The sequence below is a fragment of the Homo sapiens genome, chromosome 9 (assembly GCF_000001405.40).
Source record: "Homo sapiens chromosome 9, GRCh38.p14 Primary Assembly".
Lineage (NCBI taxonomy): Eukaryota > Metazoa > Chordata > Mammalia > Primates > Hominidae > Homo > Homo sapiens.
The window spans coordinates 18,413,781-18,438,195 of record NC_000009.12 but is presented as its reverse complement, the minus strand read 5'-3'; the positions used below and the strand labels follow the sequence as shown (position 1 = coordinate 18,438,195).

At 38.0% G+C, this 24,415-nt stretch overlaps 1 protein-coding gene and 1 long non-coding RNA gene across 12 annotated transcripts in view; one reads left to right on the top strand and one right to left on the bottom strand.

Moving 5' to 3' along the window:
* Nucleotides 1-24,415, bottom strand: part of ADAMTSL1 (ADAMTS like 1) — a 1,004,318-nt gene that overhangs the window by 472,755 nt on the left and 507,148 nt on the right. The window lies entirely within an intron of this gene.
* On the top strand, nucleotides 692-24,415 carry LOC105369293 (uncharacterized). Its single transcript, XR_001746429.3, has 5 exons — nucleotides 692-955; nucleotides 15,348-15,530; nucleotides 17,113-17,601; nucleotides 18,740-18,775; nucleotides 24,345-24,415. It is a non-coding gene; the product is annotated as an uncharacterized LOC105369293 (long non-coding RNA).

Genomic DNA, 24,415 nt, shown 5'->3' with positions numbered 1-24,415 from the left:
ATTAAGACTAGAAACGTGCAGTAAATGCTTTCAGGTCACATAACGCCAATGAAGAGACTTTAGATTCTGCTTGATGTTATCTGGCCTGATGCAGAGAATAAACAAAACCCAGCATACCACCATCAAGCACGCGTTAACAAAAGTTCCCTGGCTCCTCACTGACTCAAGAGTGACCTTGATCCTCTCCTTCCCGTTCCAGCAGGCAGCAACAGCAGCGGGCATTAGCAGACAGGGGTGTATAAGTGCCCGGGGAATGGCGCCTGGTCTTGGCACTGCGAGTGTATCAGTGTTAACAGCTGGGGGCATAAGTCATGCTTAATCAGGATTTAGTGGCAACTTTCAGTCTCAGATTAGCCCAGCTAGCAGGCAGGGGCTGTGTTCTTGCCAAAGCTGGGAAGCTCAAAAGGTCATGTGATCTCCTGGGGTTAATACTGGTATTTAATGAAATGCCTTGCTTATCACTGTTCTGGGTCAAGAGCTTTGTTTGTCACTGAGAAGAAATCACTGCCAAATATAATATGATCTAGTATTGTGGGTAGCTTTCTTTAACTCTCAAAAGTTATCTCTGTAACTCAGACCCTAGAAAGCCAGTTAGCTAGAAGCAAGTTCAAAAAGAATTCAGAAAGGGAGGTGGTGGGGGTGGTTAGGAAGGCAGGTCAGTAGACAACTTCTGTGACATCCTAAGGAGTTCAGACTTGGCCCTGTAGCAGTGAGAAGGCAGTTAAGGATTTTAAGCATTGTGCAAAACAGAGTAATAGACTGCAGTCTGTCATGACTAGAAGAAGGGGTCTCATTGGAAGAAACTGGAGGGACAAATCAGACTCTGAACAAAACTAGCAGCACTGGGGATGGAGCAAAGGGATTGAATACAAGATATATGAATGATGTAAAATTTACAGGCCATGGTGACTATTTGGACACGGGACATGGAGAGAAGACTGCTCTGGCAGCCTAGGTAGGTGGATGCTGTTGCTGCTATTGAGGAAGTTGGGAAATGAAGATAAGCAGTGGATTTGCAAGAGGGTTGGAGTGGAGATAGTGAGTTCAGTTTTGATGCGCAGAGTGTCCCCCTCCATGTGAATCCCTCTTAGCCACCGAGAATTGCCTTGTCCAAGATTACAACCATCCTAGATGGTGACCCACAGCCAATGACTGGCTGATGCTCAGATAACAAGGCTGAGCCACCCTGGCTTCAATTTGAGACAGTTCTGAAGGGTTGTTTTAGCTCTAGAGTGTCTGTTAGGGTTGGCTACAACTTTATGGTGGGTCAACTTTTCCCTCCACCTACTGCTCCTGCCTTCCTTACGGGTGTATCTCTCAAGGGCACTCTGCAACAAACATTTTTGCAGGAAGCTCTCCACCTCAGAGTCTGCTTCCAGGTAATGCTGTATAATACAGTGTAGGAGAAAGGATTCCATGATGATGGCTGAGAAAAAATGATGTGGTTCTGGAAACTAAAGAGGGATTTTCCAGGAGGAGGGGGGAATCAGCAGCATCAATTACTCATAGAGAGGTAAAGTAAAATAAGAGCTGAAAAGTGTCTGCTGAGCAACACAGAGGTAGGCCATGGGTGACCTGGGCAAGGGCAGTTTAAAGGAGCAGTGGACTGGAGACATACTGGGCAATTGGGGAAGTGCAGAGAGGCCATGCAGAATACTGTTTGAAGGAGCTTGTCTGTTGAGATAAAGGGAGCCAACGTGGTGCAAGGTAAAGAAGGATACAGAATCAAGTGTTCCCCTGATCAGAAAAGAACTGAGTAGAAGTGAAATAAACAAGAGCAAGAAAGAGGATGCTGATATTGGGAAAAGAGCAGAGCATGAAAAGAGTGATGTGCTTGAGGAGGTGCATGGGATGTGGTCCAGAGCCATGCCTTTCTCTGACACTGACCATAGAGAGGTGTGAAAGAAGGAAATGGAAGAGGTGAGTGGCTGGACACCTCCTCCTAAAGCAAGCCCCACATCCTTCCCCGAGCATTTACAGTCCTGCACAATCTTCTTCAGCCTCTACTTCTGCCCTTATTTCCCCCTAGCCTCCTTCAGACTTGTAATCCTCAAACCAATCTAGACCCCTGCAAACCCTCCAGGGTGCCCCCAATTCTATTACTGTTAAATCTGGTTCTTGCTGTTTCCCTGGCCTGCCCTTCCAGCTTTATGCAAAATTATCTGTTTAAACACGTTTACCTACTCTTTAAAGTAAAAGGTCAAATATTTTCTAACTGCATGATATGGTTTGGCTCCATGACCCCACCCAAATCTCATCTTGTAGCTCCCATAATTCCCACCTGTGGTGGGAGGAACCCCGTGGAAGATGACTGACTCATGGGGACGGGTCTTTCCTGTGCTGTTCTCGTGATAGTGAATGGGTCTCATGAGATGTGATGTTTTAAAACTGGGAGTTTCTCTGTACAAGCCCTCTCCTTGCCTGCCACCATCCACGTAAGATGTGACTTGTTCCTCCTTGCCATCCGCCATGATTGTGAGGCCTGCTCAATCTTGGGTATGTCTTTATCAGCATTGTGAAAATGGATTAATACACCACATTCCTCTGCTCTCTGTCCTGGCCTCACAGATCTCTTCAAAGGTCCAGTTCACTTCCATTTCCTCCTAGAATACTCTCTGTCAGAACCCTTCCCTGGACTTCAAGTCTCCTAGCTAACCAAATCGATCAGAGCCCCTACTTCCAACCCCTCCTATATATTCTCATAGTAGTGTGTTCCTTCATAACACAGATCAGTGTTGCAGTTACATATTTGTGTGAGTATTTGAACAATTCTGGTTTCCCCATTAGAATACAACTTTGTGAAGTCAGAGACTCACCATGACATCCCCAGAGCAGTGTCTGGCACATTTATTGGTTGGACAAATAAATGAATATTTGCTAAAGTCTACCTTAAGGTTTTCTCACTTATGAAGAGACTAAAGATATAAATTCTATAGTGACAGAGGCCATGTATTTTCATCTTTTTATTTCCTAAAGTATCTAATATAAGTCCTTGTACAATAGGCACTCAATATACCATAACTGTGTGAGCAATAAGCCTTTCTAAAAATGATTCTTGAAAAGAATTACTAGACTGTATAATCCTAGAGCAGACTGGTTTTTGGAAATGCTGTGCCATGACATCTCAACTCCCTCTTTGACTCTTTTATGCATTCACAAGTTACAAAGCATGCATTTAGCATCTATTGTGACCCAGATGTTGCACCAGGTGTTAGGGATACAGTGGTGATCAAAGCCAGATGTGGTCCCTGTCTTCATGGAGTTCCCAGTCTAGTAGTTGACTTAGACACCAGTCGAAGAATCACATACATGAAAAATTCAACTGTGGTTATGATCTTGAAGAAGCACCTAGAACTGAATACTGAATAAGGTGATACCAGCAAGCTGGGGAAGGGTACTAAATGAGATGGGAGAGGTAGATTCAGCCAGATCTTGCAGGGCAGGCAAGTCATGTAAAAGACTGTAGGAGCCATTTGAGTGTTTCAATTCAGGGTGGGAGTGACATTAACCAACTGCATTTCCAAAATATCACTCTGTCTTCAGGATAGAGATGCCATACCTCTTGCAGAATTTTCTAACCACCTGCCTAATCTACAGGAACTGTCCAGGTATTCTACCTATTTTATTTTCTTCAAAATCTTTATTACTCTTGAACATTTTCTTTTCTTTTTCTCATTTTCTGTTCTCATGTGTCCCACCTGCCTGCTCTAATAGAAAGTTGGCTCCATGAAGATGAGGAATCTTGTCTATCTTGTTCTTTACTACAGAGTGTATACAATAGTTCCAGGCGTACTGTAGGTTTCCATAAAAATTTGCCAAAATTGAATTTTAATTTTTGTGGTTGGGAGGTGAGACAGAAGGGATGCATGGTGGAGCTTCTGGGAATAATATCATTTCTTCTTTACTAACCGAGCACAGCCTCTTGTTTTTTTCATGAAAATGGGCCCATAAGGACCTTGCCCAAAGCTTTTATGACCCTGAATTCTTTTAAATAAGATAATTTTAAAAACTTCTAGAGTCTCTTAAGAGCTGCCTTGATAGAACTAAACGTAGGGCTAAATATACACATGTATTCCCTCTATAATTGCTCTTTTCTAAGCTGCTGAAGCTATGATCTACGAGCTATTCTTCCTGTGTAGGAAAAGTTACATAAAAGTTCAGCATCTCCTGGCTAGATGATTTGTTATGATAACCTACCTGTGTGAAACACTAAAATTTACAGTTTCTAACAGCTCTTTGGATTGGTGAAAAGATATGAGAATTGCAATTAGCATTCCCCTAAACAGCAAAGCATTATATGGACACATTCTGTATTGAATCCAGTAGAAATTCCATTTTCTATATGTCAGGACATATACACATTGTGGAACAGATCTGTTACAATTTTATGAGTCATTTTGTTAAAACTTGTGGAACTATTTGAAAACTTTCCTAGTCTACTCTTAAGTGTGTAGTTTAGATTGCAGCCAGTAGTTAGGTTTAATTAGCTTTGAGTGAATAAATGAAGTTTTCTGCTCAGATCTCTGGGATTAATATAAAACTGGTGATAAAATCATGGTTTCCTTTTCAAATTTTGCCTTGAATTCGACCTTTCTGAGTAGTTGCCCAGTTTGAGCTCAGGTATATCACCATCTTTACATATATTAAGATCAAGTCTATTAAAAGCAATTTGGCTTCCCCAATTTCAGCGCATCAGGGAAGTTCAAAATTGTTTTTTCTTAATGGCAATATTACATTAAATCTACCCATTGAAGACCCTAAGACATTCCAATAATTTATATTATAGTTCATAAATAAAATTATCCAATCTAGGCCTGAGGAAATATGGAGTCATTCTGTTATGTTTCACTTCATAAAGACATTTATTCTTTTAGGGGAAAGAACGCACACATTGATACCATTTTGGTTATTATAGGCCTCCAATAGAATCTATATTAAGAATTAATGTACTGTCATTAAAACTCTCCACAACTTTTGAGTGATAAAATCATACAAATGAAGTTTTTATGTTTTTGTTTTTAGTTGTAGTCAGCACGGGAAGGGTTTATAAAAGCCTACTCATCTATTCACATTTTACAGGATTTATACTTCCCCATTCTTTTTAAAACAAACAGGAGGTTTTGTTGGTTAAAAAAAATCTAGCCAAAGTTATTTTAAAAGATTTAAATAGTGAGAAAGATGAAAATGTTTTCATTCTAATCCTATTAGACAGTGTTGCATATTTTGAGTAAATGCAAATTAAAACCTCTACATAGTTTCCTGTAGTCAAAGTTTCAAAAGCTAAAGCAAGATTGGTAACAAAGGAGGCAGGGACACTTGCTACTGTCTGAAGACACTAAATCCCACAACTAAAGGTACAGGCATAATTTTAACTCATAGAAGAACCATCGTACTACAAATAATTTATAAACTATCTTCACATATGTTGTCACACTTGATCCTTATAATAATTGTATGAGTTTCAGAGCCGGTACTAATGATTCCCGTTTTTCAAACAAAGGTGAAATAAGGACAATAAAAGAGGTTATCTGAGGCCCTCAGCAAGCAACCACTGGAATGTGGGTTTTATTGGTTCAATCTAGTGCTCATTTCTACTATATGACTACTTTATTTTAGCAAAGCATTTGATAATTTTTGGTGATGTGCTATGGGAAAGATAGAATAATGTAAGCTACATAAGATTCAGAATGTGGGTTTTATTGGCTTAATCTAGTGCTCATTTCTACTATATGACTATTTTAGCAAAGCATTTGATAATTTTTGGTTATTTGCTACGGGAAACATAGAATAATGTAAGCTACATAAGATTCTAGTTGAAAGATTCATACATGGTGAAAACCTATACATTTAACTCAACAAACATTTATTGAGCACTTCTTATGTGCTGGGCTCTCTAGTAGGTCTATAGAAACTAGTATATTAATGCCAATATAAAGAGATATGTGAAAGACTCGAGGTTGGTCTGATCAACATTTTCATCAGTGATTTGATTAAAGACACAAAAGAGATTATTTTATGTAATCTATGGTTGGCACACAACTGAGATGAGTAGCTAAAAAAAAATTCTTTTCAACCAGAACAACAGACCAAAGTTAATGAGCTGGCCTCTTTAAAGAGATATATGTCACATTCTGAATTTAGGTTTAAAAGGAAAATTCATCATCCAATAGAGAGTAAGAAAGAGTTTTACCATTTTTCATGTGAAAATGCTATGGGCTTTCAGTTTTCTATAAACTTTGTAAAATTCAGAAGTGTCATGGCTGGTGGAAAACTGTACACTTTTATGCTACATGAATTTAAAAAACAACCCAGCCTATATAGATATTAGTTGTGCTGCATCTGTACTAGTCAGGTCATATGAGTACCATGCTCAGTCCTGGAGGTCACATTTTTACAAGGATCTTGACAATTTGCTACTCATTTAGGTGGGTAAGGATTGGTCATGGGAAGAAAAGTTAGGAGAATGGGGCTGTTGACTTCAGACACAGAAGACTTTGGGGCAGCTGAGAAATTTTCTTTATCAAGGTGGAAGAAGGTGAAGACTTCTGGAAATGTTCAAGCAGAGGCTGGGTGACCATCTGCCAAAGAATGTAGCAAAGAGGATTCCAGCTTTGAGTGGCAGTTTGGACTAATGACCTCTAATGTTGCTTCCAAGTCTAAGATTTTGAGTTTCTAGTATAGAGTCCTATATATTAATTCTTATCCCCAGTGCAGTGTCTTCCAAATTTCAGAAATCTGGGTCTTTAAACATTTCAAAGGATGCTCATAATTGTCTCTGAATGAATATGTACAAGCTTAGTCTAAGAGAGACTTGTGAAAAATGAGCCACACTGATACACTTTTAGTTTCTTCCAATAATGGGATATTTTATGGGATTTGCCTCTGACAGTGCCAGACTCTTGAAAGTCATCCTAAGCAGCACTCTACTGCATCTGCATTCTGGACATATGAATTCAACATCTCAACAAGTAAAAACACCTCTGGGGCATTTCTGAACCTGAGCTGGTCCCCTAGGTCTGTCTTGAATGAAATCTACTTTGTGGATATTGTCCAGTAGGTGACCAGGGTTTGATGGCACAGGTGTGGCATGTGTGTAGTGTGTACACCTAGTAGAGGGCATGTAACCATTGTTCCACATCTCTGGCCCACGTAGTCTCTCTGGCATTCAATGATTAGTGTACGCATCTGGGCAGTTTGGCACCATTTCCCTACCATCTCTGTAGGGACCTAATATATCCAAATGTCATATGACCCATTCAGCCTGTTTTATGTCTGTACAGATCATTTATGGCTAAATCACTATGGGGCTAATCATTCTAACCCACTTCCTGCCCAATTAAAAGTACTTACAATTCTGTTAGTGGTACAAGGGGCCTCAACTTTCTGCCCCTCTCATTCAATCTCCTTCAGCAAACATTTATTTATCCCTTTGAGATGTACAATTTTCGTTCTAGCTCAAGGGATGTGTGCTTGGTGCAAGGAGAAGTTGAAAGACAATGGATTGGCCTTGGCTTAGTGTCTCTGGTATAGAGGAATTCACAAGCCTCTTTTAGTTGTGTGATGCTTGGGATTAGGGAAACAGTATAGGCAGTTTGGGATGAGATCCCAGGAGTAAGTCACATGAAACCCTTTTAAATGCACAAAATATGTGTCTAAAGCATGCTTTAGTTTTCTACACACCGCTAGAATATTTTTAAGGTCTGTACAAACACACACCTGGAGAAAAGTTAGAACTAGATCAGTTCCAAGTCCATAGGAAGGTTTATTGATACATTCTTCTGGATTAGCAACCTCTAATATAAGTAAGAAAAGAGTGAGTAATGCTGAACTTGGCATCAGAAGGAGAACTCAGGCGAGCACACTTTGGGAAGCCATTGTGGGTCACAGAAAAATAATACTGTTGGTGAAGCTTTGCAATACATGCTTAGATACTTTAAAATCTTGTTCAAAATGTTGTCTAGAAACCACCCGGCACTTATTAAGAATGCGCAATCTCAGGCCCAACTCTGGACCTTCTGAATCAGTATTTGCATTTCAACAGTATCCCCAGGTGGTTTTTGTGTATATAAAATTTTAAGAAGTCCTGTTTAAAATCTTACTACTATTGGCCAGGCATGGTGGCTCATGCCTGCAATCCCAGCACTTTGGGAGGCTGACATGGGTGGATCACCTGAGGTCAGGAGTTTGAGACCAGCCTGGCCAACATAGTGAAACCCTGTCTCTACTAAAAATATAAAAACTAGCTGGGTGTCGTGGCACGTGCCTGTAATCCCAGCTACCCGGGAGGCTGAGGTAGGAGAATCGCTTGAACCCGGGAGGCAGAGGTTGCAGTGAGCCGACATAGCACCACTGCACTCCAGCCTGAGAGACAGAGCGAGACTCCATCTCAAAAAAACAAAAACAAAAACAAAAATCAAAACGTATTACTATCATGTCAATAGAGAATTTAAATGGAATAAAAAATTTTAATGAAAAAATCCTTATCATTTAACAATAGAACTTTTAGACCCCTCCTTCTAAAGGGGAATGATAAATTAATAAGAGCATTATTTAGGCCTAATGAATAAAATTAATGCTGCTCTGCATTTTAAGTTAATGTTAATCTTTTTTCCAGGATTGAGGGAATCCTGGAAGCATTGTTCTGGGTATTCGACTTTAATTTAATTAGCAACTGGAGAAGCAATAGAGTCAAAGTTTTGGTTTAGAAACCGTCACTTATTTAACCTCTTAGATTTTCTGCTCACACTAGCACACAGACACATCAGACATATCCAGATCCCAATACCCAAACAGAGACTCCGAAGCATTTTTAGGGTATGTAATGCAAAGTTACTCTCTTTTTTTCCCCTTAACCACACAGAGCTATTTTGCAATCACAGTAAGGTTGTGCAAAAGTATGGGTAAAAACTATAAAAGTTATGAAGTCATATTCAGATTGACTAAGAGGTTATGATTTCCAAGTAGAGAGTAATGTTTCCAAAAATAGTATAGCTGATCTAGTGGCAAAGAATATGTCATTATGAAATGCAAAATTTATAGATGCAAATTCACATACGTGTATGTATATATATTTATATACATACATAAACTCAGAAATGCTATGAACTAATGAAAATAGCAACTGGTGGTGGGGTTTGTAAAAATGCTATAATTCAGACACACACCATTAAAAAACTCATTGATAAATCATTGGAACTTATAGCTGACTTTTGATTTATTTTTATGCCGACTGTAGTGGTGACTCCAGGGAGACGTTTATACACCGACAATTTCAGTGAGGAGCAGCAATAGCTAATCTGCTCAGTTTTTGAACTCTGAGAGTTATGCTTTGAATTAAAGAAGATTTATGGAGGGCCCAATGGCCTTTTATGGATTACACACTAAAGATCAGAATGAGTAAGAAAGAAGGCATTCAAAAGAACTGAGGCTTTTTATTTATGCACATTAAAGAAATACACAGTTGAAATGGTCAAAAATCATGTAGATTGCCTCATTTTTATATGTAGCACAATTTGCCTTCTTCTATTTACATGCTACTGTTTGATATGTTCCAATTGTGTTTTTCTTGTTTTTTGTTTTTTTCTTTTTTGAGACAGGGTCTTGGCTGGAATGCACTGGTGTCATCACAGCTCACTGTAGCCTTGAACTCCTGGACTCACACAATTCTCCCATCTCAGCCTCCTGAGTAGCTGGGCCCACAGGTGCCTGCTACCTTGCCCAGCTAATTAATTTTTCTTTTCTTTTCTTTTTTTTTTTTTTTTGTAGACATAGGGGTCTCACAATATTACCAAGCTGCTCTTGAGCTCCTGGCCTCAAGCAATCCTCCCACCTTGGACTCACAAGGTGCTGGAATTTATAGATGTGAGCCACTGATAGATGTGGGATGGCAAACCCGGCCCCAATTCTTGTATCTGTATAATTTCTTTTCTTTTTTATTGGTAAACAAGAGAGATCCTTGCATTCATCAGGGACTATGTTCCAAATATTCTGTTTCCTCTTTAAGGCCAAATACAATGCCAAACACAACAGATTTTATAAATGCCTATTGAATTTTGTGGAAAAATTATATAATGATCCAAAATTGCTTTACCATGCTTGGATGACTGTAAGATATTTAAAACAAAGGGTAGCCCTCAAGAAATAACCTTGTTTGGGAAACACAGGATAGGTGGAGAAGGAGGGTGGCAAACTGCCTGACAGCTCCGGCACTGCAGAGCTTTGCAGACATCAGACTTCAAAGATCTGGACTAGGCACAGAAGAAGGAAGAGGCATTTTACTCTTTACCAAGAACTAAGCACATCCGTTTGAACACAGTCATGGGAAATGAGTAGGAACTGAGCAGTCTCATCATCTCTACGTTCATTTTGAATGGCAGAGCAGGCTCCGCCTCTGCTTTTGAGAGCCAACACATCTTAAATAAAAACATTTTAGCTAATTGAAAGGTTTAGGAAAATGTAACCTGCAAGGCTTTGTGCTTATCTCCTGAAGCTTCAAGCCTCAAGGCAGGTCCTGGGCTCCTGCCTCAGCAAGAAAATCTCCTGAGAGTTTAAGAGAGCAAGAGAAAAATGTGGGCAAAGCCAGTTAACTCCTCTAGTTTAAGTTGAATTGCACTAAAAGAAGCAGATTTCTTAGACAAGTTGCAGAAAATGATTAAAACTTAAAAAAATTTCTCTTTCCTTTTGCCATTGTTGCTTTATCAACTTCCTATAATATCTGTTTATGGTGACTTATAATTTGTTTAGATATAGAAGTCACCTTCCAAATATTTTAGTAACACACTTCTATGACATAGCTTGAGAATCTGTTTTTCTACCCATCAAGTGGCTTTCATTCAAAAATACAGGAATTATCCCTAGCCTAAGCCATGGAAAGCATCCACTGAAAACACATCTGAGTATGTCCCTTTTCAGCAATTCAGCAAGTCGATTAGTACAAATCTAAACTGGGATCTTTCTAACTATAGCTGATAATTCCTGAGTTCATTCCTAAGTAATTCAGAACTGTGTGCAGTAACTTTTAGTTAGACTTATTTCATGACAAGTTTTTCAATTTGCTACAAGATTTGTCTTAGATGATTAGACTGGCAGATGGAAGAAAAAACCATTTGGGAATGATAATCATGGAAGCATCAAAATATCCATTCTGCTTAAAGTCTGTCAAGAGAGCTGTGACTTCAGAGCAAGGTGCTATGTGGGATGTGTACAGAAAATGATAAAAATGTTTCGAAGATACTACAGTTCTCCAAGCCTCCCAATAAAACCTTTTGTAATCTTAGCCAGATTCATTAAGGAACAGCTTTCATTGAAAAAAATAAAGTGATAAACTGTTCCCTGTTCTTCATTTGGTTAGTGTATAAGGTTGTTCGTTTCAGATTACGAGCATAAAAATTTAGAAAGATTTGGACCCAGGTTTGAATTCAGCTAGTCAAGTTGCTTTGGGCAAGTAAAAAATTATCTCTGGGCCTCAGTTTCCTTACAGGAGACAGCATGGCTTCTTGGTTAATGGTGCAACCCCCCGGGCTCAGAGCTATGTCCCTACACTAAATCTGTGATCTTTGATGGGTTACCGAAAGTCTCATCATTTGAGATGTCATTACCTCACAAGCAGAAAATGAACTTAAAATGCCTAGAAAATTCCTAACTATAGTAAGAAATCAACCAATAGTAGCTCTTATTAGTAGATAATTTCATAATTATGGTGGCTTCTAGGAGGCAGAAGCTAAGTCCCAAATGCAGATTAATTACTGAGTATTTATACCTCTTACACATTTGACCATGGTCTTTTCTTATACTTAGGGAATTATTTGCCAGTCTAACTTTAAGGGAACTTGAAAATGCAGGTATCCCTTTAGGGAGGGAGAGTAACTTGAATGCAAAGTGAAGAGTTTCTTCCTATAAAGCTGTCTTCTATCCCAGCCCTCTATGACTTGGGTCATGGAGACTTCCTGGATGTATAATAGCTGGCCGGTGGACTGGGCCCTAGGCAGGGATTCTCCCTCCTATCCCTGGGATTTTTTTCTTAACCAAGTAGTGCCCCAAATTAGGCTGCCTTATCTGATCTATATGATTCTGAGAACTTTAGGGGTTAGTGAACTTCCAGCAAAGTGTTCTGATTAGGATTACTACAGCCACACTTTTGACGAAATAAACTAAGCATAAAGGGGAAAATATAAGCATCCCACATCTGATGCTAAACGGGTTGGCACTTTTCTGGGAAATTTTTCTCTCATGGTCTCATCTTTCAATAATAACATCTTTTCACCCTTTACCTTCCAAAAGAACATCTTTTCTCCTCACTTTCCGAATCTATACACGTCTTTTTTTTTTTTTTTTTTTCTTGAGACAGGGATCTTACTGTGTTACCCAAGCTGGAGTGCAGTGGGGTGACCATGGTTCATTGCAGCCTCAAACTTCTGGGCTCAAGCTCTTCTCCCACCTCAGCCTCCAGAGTAGCTGGGACTACAGGTATGCACCACCTGCTCAGCTATTTTTTTTTTAAACTTATTTAGAGATGGGTTCTCGCTATGATGCCATAATGGTCTCAAACTCCTGGCCTCAAGCCATCTTCCCTCCTCAGCCTCCTGAGCAGAGTAGCTGGGATTACAGATGCAAGCTGCTGTGCCTGGAGAATTTTCTTTTTTAAACCCACACAGAACTATTGCTGTAAAACTAAGAACTATACTTAACCAGAGTTTCGGACATTTGAAGTGCTCTTGGATATTTTAGCAATGTTTGGGGATTTCTGGTGCTTAGCAGAGGGTATATTTTTGGGAGAGGGTATATTTTTGCTATTCTAACAGAACTCTATTGAGTAGCAAATTTGGCTAAGAAATGGTGGTAAGATTGCACGTGTGCATTTTGTACCTATCTTGCCAAGGTTGTTCTACTCAACTATGAAAACTCACATTACTCTAATAATTTTACAGTTCTTTTTTTAGGTGAGAACACGAGATTGGGAGGATGAGGGCTGGAACATAAAATGAGAGGGAGAGAAGATGAAGTGGGGGAGGGAGGAAACGAAGAGAGGGAGAGAGAGTGGAGTGGAGGGGGAGAGAGAGAGAGAGAATGCACACTGTACAGAAAAATTGCAAAGCAGATAAATCAGTTTCAAATTTCAGCCCTATCTCTCCTCTTAGCACCTTTAGTAGTGTTTGTAAACATTGTACGACTTCCTTTAATAGTTCAGCATTGTTTTCAGCCAGTTGCCAACTAATATTCAGATCATAGGTGGTAATTCAAACACTTTCTGGGTGGATATGTGGATAAGAGGTCATCTGAAGACCAAAAGACGTAAATACTCCAGGGCATACTCTTTTGCGATGAACCACATTTCAAACGCCATAACAGTATGAAAGAGCCTAGTGGGTCAGAAAGGCTGGCTGTAGAACACTTCCTCACAAAACCTCAAGATTCCACTTGAAAATAAGGCCCATCCTGATCATACATGAGGCTGGGTAGGTCTGAATGGCTCCATGAAAGTAACTACCAGAAAGACAATGCAAAGCTCTTCTTTCTAGACTGTGAGTGAATAAATAATCTTCATTCTTTCTAATAAACAGGACAATATGGGCACAGCTTTCTTCCCCTTGTATATGTTTGGTGTTTTTATTCTTGCATTTTTCTAACTTTGGGGTTTATGTTATCAAATGAGATCATTCTGTGCAGGCTATCCTGGAGAATTATCTACCCCATAGTACTTGTTTTCACTTTTTTTGTGCACTTATTATGTTATATATTGATTGATGGTAATGTAGGAGATGCATGTTCACTGTTGCCCCACTGAGCTGAGTGCTGTCATGGGGACTGTATAAGATTCACCTTTCCAGGCCCTCTGCTTAGCACAGTATTTGGTCTAAAGTATTCACTGAATGTGTCCCCGGACATTGCACAACTTCTCTTACAGCATGAGTTCAACAGGGCAATTAATTGTTTCTCAGCCCCACTTGCTTGTACTTTATTGGCTGAGAGGGTCATCAGAGAGTCTTGGAAATGGAAGAAACACTAATAGTTCAGCTTCTTGTCTACTCTTTCACCATTAAGCAAGGCCATATCTAAAATATCCCAGACAGAGGGAAATTGATCTTATTTTAGAAGACATTCAGAGATACCACTAAAGTGATTTCTTTGAGGTTAAATTTAGCATATCTTTGAATAAGTAACTCAAACATTCTCATGTTCAGCTACATTTCTGCTCTTTCTTCAGAAGCATTATTAACATACCAAGACTCTGCCCATTAGCCTGTGGGATAAAGACTTTGAGGATAAGTGCCATTCATGCACATATTTATCTTAATCTCATACTGGAAAACTAAAGATATGAAAGTTAGGATTGAAGATATGTATACATTTTAAATCTCCAAATTATTTTAAAAGATAATGGAAGCCATCCTATTTTGTCCCTACATTGCAAGTAAGATGGATTTCTTGCACATTTTACCAGGAGATTTGGCTTCAACACCCAATCTTTTCTAACGCAGCTCAGGCAAATGTGACCTTCTTTTTCTCTGACCTCCAAAAGCGTGCTCCTATACTTCTCACAAGGCCTAATGCCATTTTTATGTTGCTTTCTTTATGTTTCTTACCTCGCTAGTAGGGACAATATTGTACTTAAGGAGCTGCATCCCTCAAAGTGCCTAGTACAATGCCTCGCCTCCAAAAGATTCTCATGAAAGGTTTGTTGAATACATATTCACTTAAATGACTTCTCTCTCAAAAAATACCAAAGAAAGAGACTGAGTACATATGTTTACCTATGTAACCATTAATGGGGATAAGAGTGTGAATCTAACGGGGAATCAGTTGGACCAGAGACTCAGGATTATCAGCTTTTTGTTGGCATCTTTTAAAATGCTCATTTCCTATTAGGTGACTTATGTCATATAACAAGGTTAAAACCCTCTTTCCCAGGTTCTGGGTAATTTATGATTTTTTTCCATTATTATCTAAAAACATATACAGAAGGAAAATCCAGTTTAAATTGTCCAGAAAGTAATTTCTCCGAAGCAATAAACCATTTTTAGGCTCAGAGCCAGGTTAGTTCCTACACAAGTAATCCCTTGGGGCCTTTAGGTCACCAGCGAAAGGCCTCGGAAAATTTAATTAAAGAGATTTCCAGGAAGGGGAAAGAAATTAAAGAAATTGGTCACTACAAGATGAGGGAGTTTTCCTATCCCATACAAAGGTCTTACACACAGGACACACCAAAGTCTGGAAAGCAAGTGGGATCTTCCAGAAGCCTCTGCAATTAACACTATTGGATAACACAGTGTTATTGTCAACTGTGAGAAAGAATGTTAGAGGGCAAGTTTATCTCACTTGCCCTCAAGTGATAAAGTCTTCATCCACAGGGAGCTGTTGGTTATCTTTAGGGATGGGAAGACATACAAGAAAGCAACCAGTTACTGGATTATATGAGGAAGGCTGTGACAGAGGCCATACCGGATGCTGCAGGAACACAGAAAAAGAAGGATCTACGCCCTTTGATGAATTCCCAGGAAGCCTTCCCAGATGTGTCAGTGGGCTCTTGAAGGGTGAGTTTTTGTGAAAACTAGAAAAGGCATTCTGAATGGTGAGCGCAAGATGGTAAAAGGACACGGAGGCATGCAGGGGCACACAGTGCGTGGTGAAATACAAGAAGCAGGAGTAGCGGAGCCTGTTGTCTGTGTGGGTGAACAACGAGGCTCAGGAAAGCGGGGCCAGTTCATGCCCAATGCTGGTTCAAAAAAAATGCATGACAAACCACATGAAAACCCACAGGGAGGATGTCTGAATGCCACAGAAACACAATGTAACATTATTCAGAGAGAAGTCAATGTATTATTTCATGGTCTAGAAGAAGGGAATTCAGTGAGGTGTAGGAAGAACTCACAGAAGATGCCAGAGAATTACTTCAGAAAGAGGGGTATCTCTTTTGATGTGATTAGAACTTTTAGGAACCTCATCCAAATTTACAAAGTGGCAAACATCCTAGACACACTTTCCATGTTTAAGGTGGCTTGTGTGTGTGTGTGTGTATGACATTATTCAATAGGGAGAACATACTGCACTTTTAACTAAAGAAAATCACCAGGGAGATTTTATAGGAGACCAGGGAGAAATGAAGCAGAGATGAGCTGGATGCAGTTATAAGAGGTAGTACAACATTTAAATGACTACCATTATTTTATTTAGTTCTGTATCACAAAGCTATCACCAGTTCCAGCAGCATTCAGCTAATTAATACTAAAATTACTTTGCTAGGATTATGCAGCAAATGATGATGAAAGAAACATCCTGCAAATATTACATTCTTAAATCCTTGACTATTTGTAATAATCTACTTCCATATAAAAGTAATATCCCATTGGTAAATATGGTATTGCATTTGAGTAACTCTGCAATACCTGTAATAACTACCATTTATTGGACACCTATTTTATTTCATACTTCATTCATACTGCAAAGTTCTTACAAGTTATTATCATTCTGTACAGCAATCTGTACTCATAATATTAAATGTGTCTAAAGACTAGCTACAGCTATGTTTCCCGGTTTCTGGTGTCTATTTACTTTTTCAGTGCTACTGCTGGTATCTTTGACAGCAGGGGACCTGTTGAGCAGGAGAGGGTTTGAGAGGGAGGATGTTGCTTTCAACAGCCAGCACATGGGAAGCTTTTTACAGCTTGCTGAATGAATGGAGGAATGAAATCCTTGCTGTTAATAGCAGCAAGGACACAAATTTTGCTGTCCTATGTTTGAATCCTGGCTCTATCGCTTAGGAGCTCTGTGATGTTGGCTAAGTGTCTTAGCCTTTCAGAGCTGGTTTTCTCACCTGTAAGAAAAGAATGATAATAACTTGTAAGAACTTTGCAGTATGAATGAAGTGTGAAATAAAATAGGTGTTCAATAAATGGTAGTTATTACAGGTATTGCAGAGTTACTCAAATGCAATACTATATTTACCAATGGGATATTACTTTTATATGGAAGTAGATTATTATAAATAGTCAAGGATTTAAGAATGTAAAGCTTCCCGCCCACCTGAAAGCTGGTTGGGAACAGGAGAGGAAGGTGATCAGGGAACGCATTCCAGTGATGTGGGACCTCTCTTACCCTCTGCATTTCCTCTTTCAGGTGCTCATCTACTGGAAAGGCTTCAACTTTCACCTTTGCTGATGACGTTCCAGTCCCAGTCTGCCCAATCTGAATTCTTCCTCAGCCTCTGCTTAGCTTCCTATCCTCCGTTCCTTCTCCTATGATCTAGGCAGACATTGAGGATTATGCCTGGCACATTTTCTCAGAGGGCCAAGGCACAGCCTTAATTTTCTACTCAACTGGGAGCTCTAGGCACCCATTACCATTCAGAGTTGGCATTCGAGACAAAAACTATTTTTTTCCTGAATCTAGTCCTTTTAATTTTAAGCACCTTAAGGAATATACCTTTTAAAGTGTCTTGAAGGATTTCATTCCCCCATTCATTCAGCAAACTGTAAAGAGCTTCCCATGTGCTGCCTGTTGAATGCAACATCCTCCCTCTCAAACCCTCTCCTGCTCAACAGGTCCCCTGCTATCAATGATACCAGCAATAGCACTGAAAGAATAAATATACACCAGATAACACAGGTGAGTGGGCACAGCTCTCCATGCCACCCTAGTTCCTCACAAAGGCATGCCCAATATTTGGAGGTACTGACAGCCTTAGAGGAAGGAGAAATCCACCAGGTCAGAAAAATTCTGAGCTGTAGGCTTGCTGCCTTTCTTACCTACATTTGAGGAAAGGCCAGGTTAGCATCCAAGAGTCCACCCTATCACCATATAAAGAATTCCATGCCAGACACATATACTTCTATTTCCTAATGCTGGTCCTGGGTCTACAGTGGTCTTATTATAATCAGTAGACCATTCTAGTTCAAGCCCTTATCCCCTCCTATATGGATAACTGTAACAGACTCTCCTCTCCAGTTCATCCTATAAATGCCATAGCCAAACTCTACCCCAATTTTAACTCCTAGTAATTACTGATTTGTTCTATAGGTTGGTGCAACAGTAATTGCGGTTTTCACCATTAAAAGTAATGGCGAAAGTAATGCTTAGCCTCCTATTTGGCGAAACTGTAATGGTGAAAACTGTAATTACTGTTGCATCAACCTAATACAACACTGCAATTTTGTTTTTTAAGAATTTCAAATAGGCCAGGCACGGTGGCTCACACCTGTAATCCCAGCACTTTGGAAGGCCGAGGCGGGTGGATCACCAGGTCAGGAGTTCAAGACCAGCCTGACCAACATGGTGAAACCCCATCTCTACTAAAAATACAAAAATAAGTTGGGTGTAGTGGCGTGCGCCTGTAGTCCCAGCTACTCAGGAGGCTGAGGCAGGAGAATAGCTTGAACCTGGGAGGCGGAGGTTGCAGTGAACTAAGATCGCACTGCACTCCAGCCTGAGCGACAGAGCAAGACTCCATCTCAAAAAAAAAAAAAAAAAAAGTCAAATAAATGAGATTATACAGTGTGCAATTTTTTGACATTGACTTCTTTCACTCAGCATACTTTCGAGATTTATTCAAGGTATCACATGTAGTGTGTCTAGCAGTGTGTCTCTTTTACTTGTTAAGTAGTATTCCACAGTACAAAGGTACCAGTCTGTTTATCCATTCCTCTGTTGAATGGTATCTTGGTGAATTTTGGGGTGCTTATGAAGGGAGCTGTTATAAATATTCATGTACAGGTTTTTGTGCAAACATAATTTTCTATTTCTCTAGAGTAAACATCCAGCAATAGGACTACTGGGTTACATGGTAAGTACATGTTCAACATTTTACAAGAGAAAAAAATAGTTCAATTAAGTCCAATTAATAGTTCTGATTAAGATTTACCAATCTTTTATTTTCTGAATTATGCTTTTTTGAGTCATGTCTAAGAACTCTTTGCCTAATCCTAGGTCACAAAGATTTTTCTCCTAGGTTTTCTTTGAAAAGTTTTATAGTTTTACACTTTGAACTTAGATAAATGATCCATTTTGAGTTAATTTTTGCATAAGGTATAAGGTTTTGGTTGAGAGTTTTGCTTTATTTGTTTTTGCATGTGTAGATTTCTATTTTAAAAACATGATTTGTTAAAAAGACAATTCTTTCTCAATTGAGTTGCTACGCAACTTTGCCAAAAATCAATTGGCCACATTTATATGAATCTATTTCTGAACTTTTTATTCTGTTACATCGATCTATTTGTCTCTCTCTTTGCCGATACCACCCTGTCTTGACAACTGAAGCTTTATAGTAAGTATTAAAACTGCATAATGTAATTCCTCCAACTTTATGTCTTTTCCAAATTGTTTTAACTATTCTTATTCCTTTGCCTTTCACATACATTGTAGAATCAGATTGTGTCTATACAGAATATCCTCATAGGATTGTGAGTGGAATGGCATAAAATCTATAGACCAATTTGTGGGGAATTAACATCATTACTATGTCAAGTATTCTTGTCCATAAATAAGGTATGTCTTTCCATTTACTTAGGTCTTCTTTGATTTCTTTCATCAGCATTTTTTAGTTTTTGGCATGCAGATCCCATACATATTTTGTTAGCCCTATATCATTTTCCCCATTTTATCCCTATTTCTTAAATAGTATTGGTTTTTAATTTCATTTACCAATTGAAATACTGTTAATTTTTGTCCAATCATCTTGTATCCTGCTACCTTGCTATACTCACTTAAACTTCTAGTAGTTTTTGGTAGATTCCTTGGGATGTTCTACATAGACAATCAAAACTGTGTATTATGCAAATAGGGGTACTTTTGTTTCCTTTCTGATCTGTATAATTTTCATTTCTTTTTCTTACTTACTGCATTGGCTAGGACTCCCAGTACAATGTTGAATAGAAGCAGTGAGATTGGACATCACTGCCTTCCCCAGTGCCGGGGGGGAAACGTTCAGTCTTTCGCACTAAGTTTGATGTTACCTGTAGTGACTTTTTGTTTGTTTGGTTGGGTTTTTTAGCAGATACTCTTTATCAGTTAGAAGAAACTCCCTTCTTTTCCTAGCTGACTGAGAGATTTTATCATGAATAAATATTGAGTTTTGTTAAATGCTTTTTCTGCATCAATTTTACTTCTTCTTTCTTCTTTACACTATCAAGTGGTGGATTACACTGACTGATTTCTAAAAGTAATAAATTAGCCTAGAGTTTCCAGTATAAGCTGCTCTTGGTCATATTGTATTATTTCTTCTCTGTATTGCTGAGTTTGATTTGGTAATATTTTGTTGAGAATTTTTGTGCTCTATAGTGTTATTTTTTATTATCTTTGTCTGGTTTTTGTATCAGCCTCATTCTGGCTTTATAAAATTAGTTGGGAAGTTTTCTCTGCATTTTTACCTGCTGGAAGAGATTGGGTAGACGTGGTGTTATTTCTTCTTTAAATGTTTGGTAAAAATTGCGGTGAAACCATTTGGGTCTGGAGGTTCCTTTTTTGACAAAACTTTAACTACAAATTCAACTTTTAAAATAGTTAGAGGACTACTCAGATTCTATTTAATCTTGGATGAGTTTTGGTTGTTTGTGGTTTGCTAGGAATTGGTCCATCTATATTGTTGAATTTAGATGAGCAGAGTTGTTTGTAGTATTCTCTTTTTAATTTCTACACAGTCTGTAATAGCCTCTGTATCATTCTGATATGGTAATTTAATTCTTCTCTCTTTTTTCTGGATTGATCTTTTTAAATGTTTATCCATTTAGTTGTTTCCTTCAAAGAACTGCTTTTATTTTTATTGATTTTTTCTCTATTGTTTTTCAATTTAAATTAATTTCTGCCCTCATCTTTGTTTTTTTTTTCTTTTTTTTTTTTTTCCTGCTTACTTTAGTTCTCATTTAGCCTTTATTTTCTAGTTTCTAGTTTAAAGTGGCAGCCAAGGTCATTGTATGAAGACCTTTTTTCTTTACTAACAGAAATTTAGTGCCATAAATTCCCCCTCTCAAGTAATGCTCTAGTGGGATCTCAGTTCAAAATACGTTATAATTTTCCTTGATTTCCTCTTTGGTACATGGCTTACTTAGCAATGGTTATTTCATTTCTAAATATTTTGAAAATTTTGCAGAGATCTTTTTGTTATTCTTTTCTAATTTAGTTCCATTCTAATTAGAAAACATACTTTGTGTGAGTTGGATCTTTTTACATTTATTGAAAAGTTGTTTTATGGCCCAGAATACAGTCTATTGAGGTAATTGTGCCATCTACACTTGAAAAGAATGTGTATTCTGACTGAATATCCTATAAATGTCCAGAGTGTCCTATAAATGTCAATTAGCTGATTGTGTTGTTCAAGTCTTCTATACCTTGATGATTTTCTATTTGTTCTCTCAATTATTGAGGGAGGAGTATTTACATCTCTGACTTTATGAATTTGTTTATTTCTCCTGGGGTTTTACCCAGATTTTGCTTTAAGCATTTAGAAGCTCTTTTAAAAATATGTGGATTAGTAGAATTGTTATGTTCTCCTAATGTATTGACTCCTCTATCATTAAAAACTGATATTCTTTATTCCTGGTGTGATTCTTTAATGTGACATCTGTTTTGCCTGATATTAATATATCAAATGTAGATTTCTTTTGATAAATGTTAGTTAGCATGGTATATCTTTTTCTATCCTTTTACTTTAAACCTATGTGTGTCTTTTTATTTAAAATATACTTCTTGAAGGCAGCATATCACTGGGTAATACTTTCTTTATCCAATCTGACAATCTCTATCTTTCAATTGGATGTTTAGACTTTATCTGTTCTTAGTTTACTCTCTTCCTTTTTTTGCCCTCATTTTGATCAAGCAATTTTTTTATAATTCCATTTCATCTCTTTTTTAGGTCTATCAGCTAAAATTTTTGGGTTAGTTTAGTGGTTGCTTTAGGGTTTATAGTATATCTCTTCAACTTACCATAGTCCGTTTTCAAGTGATATCACAATAGCTCTCATGAGAACTAGGTACCTACGTTATAACTTCCATACTACGCTAGTTTTGTTTAAATGTCGATTATCATTTATAGGCATTTAAATAATGAGAGAAAGTATTTTGTATTTACCCTTGTAGTTATCCATTTCCAGTGTTCTTCATTCCTTTCTGTAGCTCCATATTCCCATTCGTCATAATTTTTATTTTGCTTGGAGGATTTCCTTGAAGATTTCTTGTAGTACAGGTCTGCTAGTAATGAATTCTTTTAGCTTTTCATGTCTGAAAAAGCTTTTGTTTCACCTACATTTGCGAGAGATATTCTACTGGTTTTGGGGTTCTAGATTATCACCTTTTTTTCCTTTCAGTATTTTACAAATACTGCTCCATTCTCTTCTTGTATATATTGTTTCCAAGGAGAAATCTGCTGTCATATTTAACTTTGCTTCTCTATATAAAATGTCATTTTCCTCTGGCTGCATTTAAGATTTTCTGTTTATCACTAGTTTTAAGTAATTTGATTAGGATGTGACTTAGTGTAGCTTCCTTCATGTTTTTTGTCCTTAGAGTTTGTTGAGATTCTTGAATATGTAGATTTTTTTTTTCTTTTTACTCAAATTTGGAAAATTCCTGGCCATTTCTTCAAATAGTATTTTCTCTGTACCCCCTCCCAACTTCAGGAACTCAGATTACATATATATTAGGCAACTGAAGTTGTATCACAGCTGACTGATACTTTGTCTTTTTAATTTTGCAATTCTATGTCTCTATTTCATTTGGGATCTTTCTATTAGTATATCTTTTAGTTGACTATTATTTTCTTCCGCAACAGCTAATCTGTTACTAATATGGTCCATGGGATGTTTTCTCTTGGATATTAAAGTTTTTATTTTTAGAAGTTTGATTTGTTGTTTTTTAAAAATACATCTTCTATGTCTACACTTCACTTTTTGAACCTATGAAACACAATCATATAAACTGTTTTAATGTCTTTGTCTGCTAATTCAACATCTGTGACAATTCTGGGGTGGTTGTGATGGGTTGATTTTGCTCCTTTTTTACGGGTTATATTTTCCCACTTCTTTGCATTGCTGCTAAGTTTCGATTGGCTGCCAGACATTGTGAATTTTATCTTGTTGGGTATAGAAATTTCTGTATTTATGTAAACATTCTTAAGCTTTGTTCTGAGCTGCATTTAAGTTACTTGGAATCAGTCTGATTCTTCTGGGTCTTGCTTTTGAGATGTCAGGCAAGGCCAGAGTTGTATTTAGATTGGGGCTAATTATTCCCCATGATTGAGGCAAGACTTTCCTAGCAGTCTACCCTAAACCCTGTAAATTGTGTTTTCCAGTTTGGTTTGTGGGAACAGGCATTACCTCCCACTCTTTGGGAGTGCTCGGTATTCCTCTCTCTAATCCTTTTGAGGAGTTCTTTTACTGATAATGTGTGGTTTTTTAACAGGCATGTACTGATCAGTATTTTGCTGGATACTTCAAGGTGATTCTCTGCAGGTTTTCAGGTTTCTTTGTATAATTATCTCCTTGTTGGTACTCTGTTGTACAGCCTCTATCTTGGTCTTTCTGCTTCAAAGTTCAACTCCTCAACTCAGGGAAATTTCCAGGCTCTGCCCAGTTTCCTCCCTGAGCCACAGCCTGAAAACTCTCTCAAGGAAGTAAGTTAGAGCAATTGCAGGACTTACCTAATTTGTTCATCATAATTGAGAGATCACTGCCTGACATCCGGTTTCTTAAAAACCATTGTTTCACACATTTTTGTTTGTTTTTTTGGTTGTTTCACGCATGAGTGTAAATTGGTCTCTGTTACTCCATCTTGTCCAGAAGTGGAAACTATTATTTCTTTTTAAAAATGCTTAATAGAAGCTGTTTATGTTGAAAAAAATACATAAAGATTATATCTGAATATAATTAAGAAGTCTCTCATTTGTTAAAAGATTACTTTTCCATTACAGTAAACTCTTTAGAATCAATTAGTAGGGAGAATACGTTCCAGATGTTGCTAAATGCATTAATAAGCATATTTTATGTGACATCTCAGATTTAGCTTCTTTGAAGGGTAAACCTCTTTTGAAGAATTAGAATTAAAATTGATTAAGTGATGAAATTTTATGATATTAGCCTTAGAGACGTTATTACACTCATACTTGAATAGTCAACTGTAGAGAAAATATCTTTTGTAACTAATTAAAAATACCAGCTGTACCCAACATCTCACTGCCTTGAGTCAACTGGCAAGTCCCTTTGCTCTTTTGTCACTCACTGTGATGCTCCAACAATTCAGATTTTGTAATTTTCCTAAAGATTTAGTAGTTCAGACAGAATTGTGCATTTTTTCTTCTTCTGAGTATTTGAAAAACAGAAAATTTAGCCAGGATATCATACTGTGGCCAATCTTTTATTTTAAAGCTCTGCTGGAAATCCCATAAACATGTCTCAAATAATTCTGCCATGATGGAAAGCAAGAAAAATGGGACGGG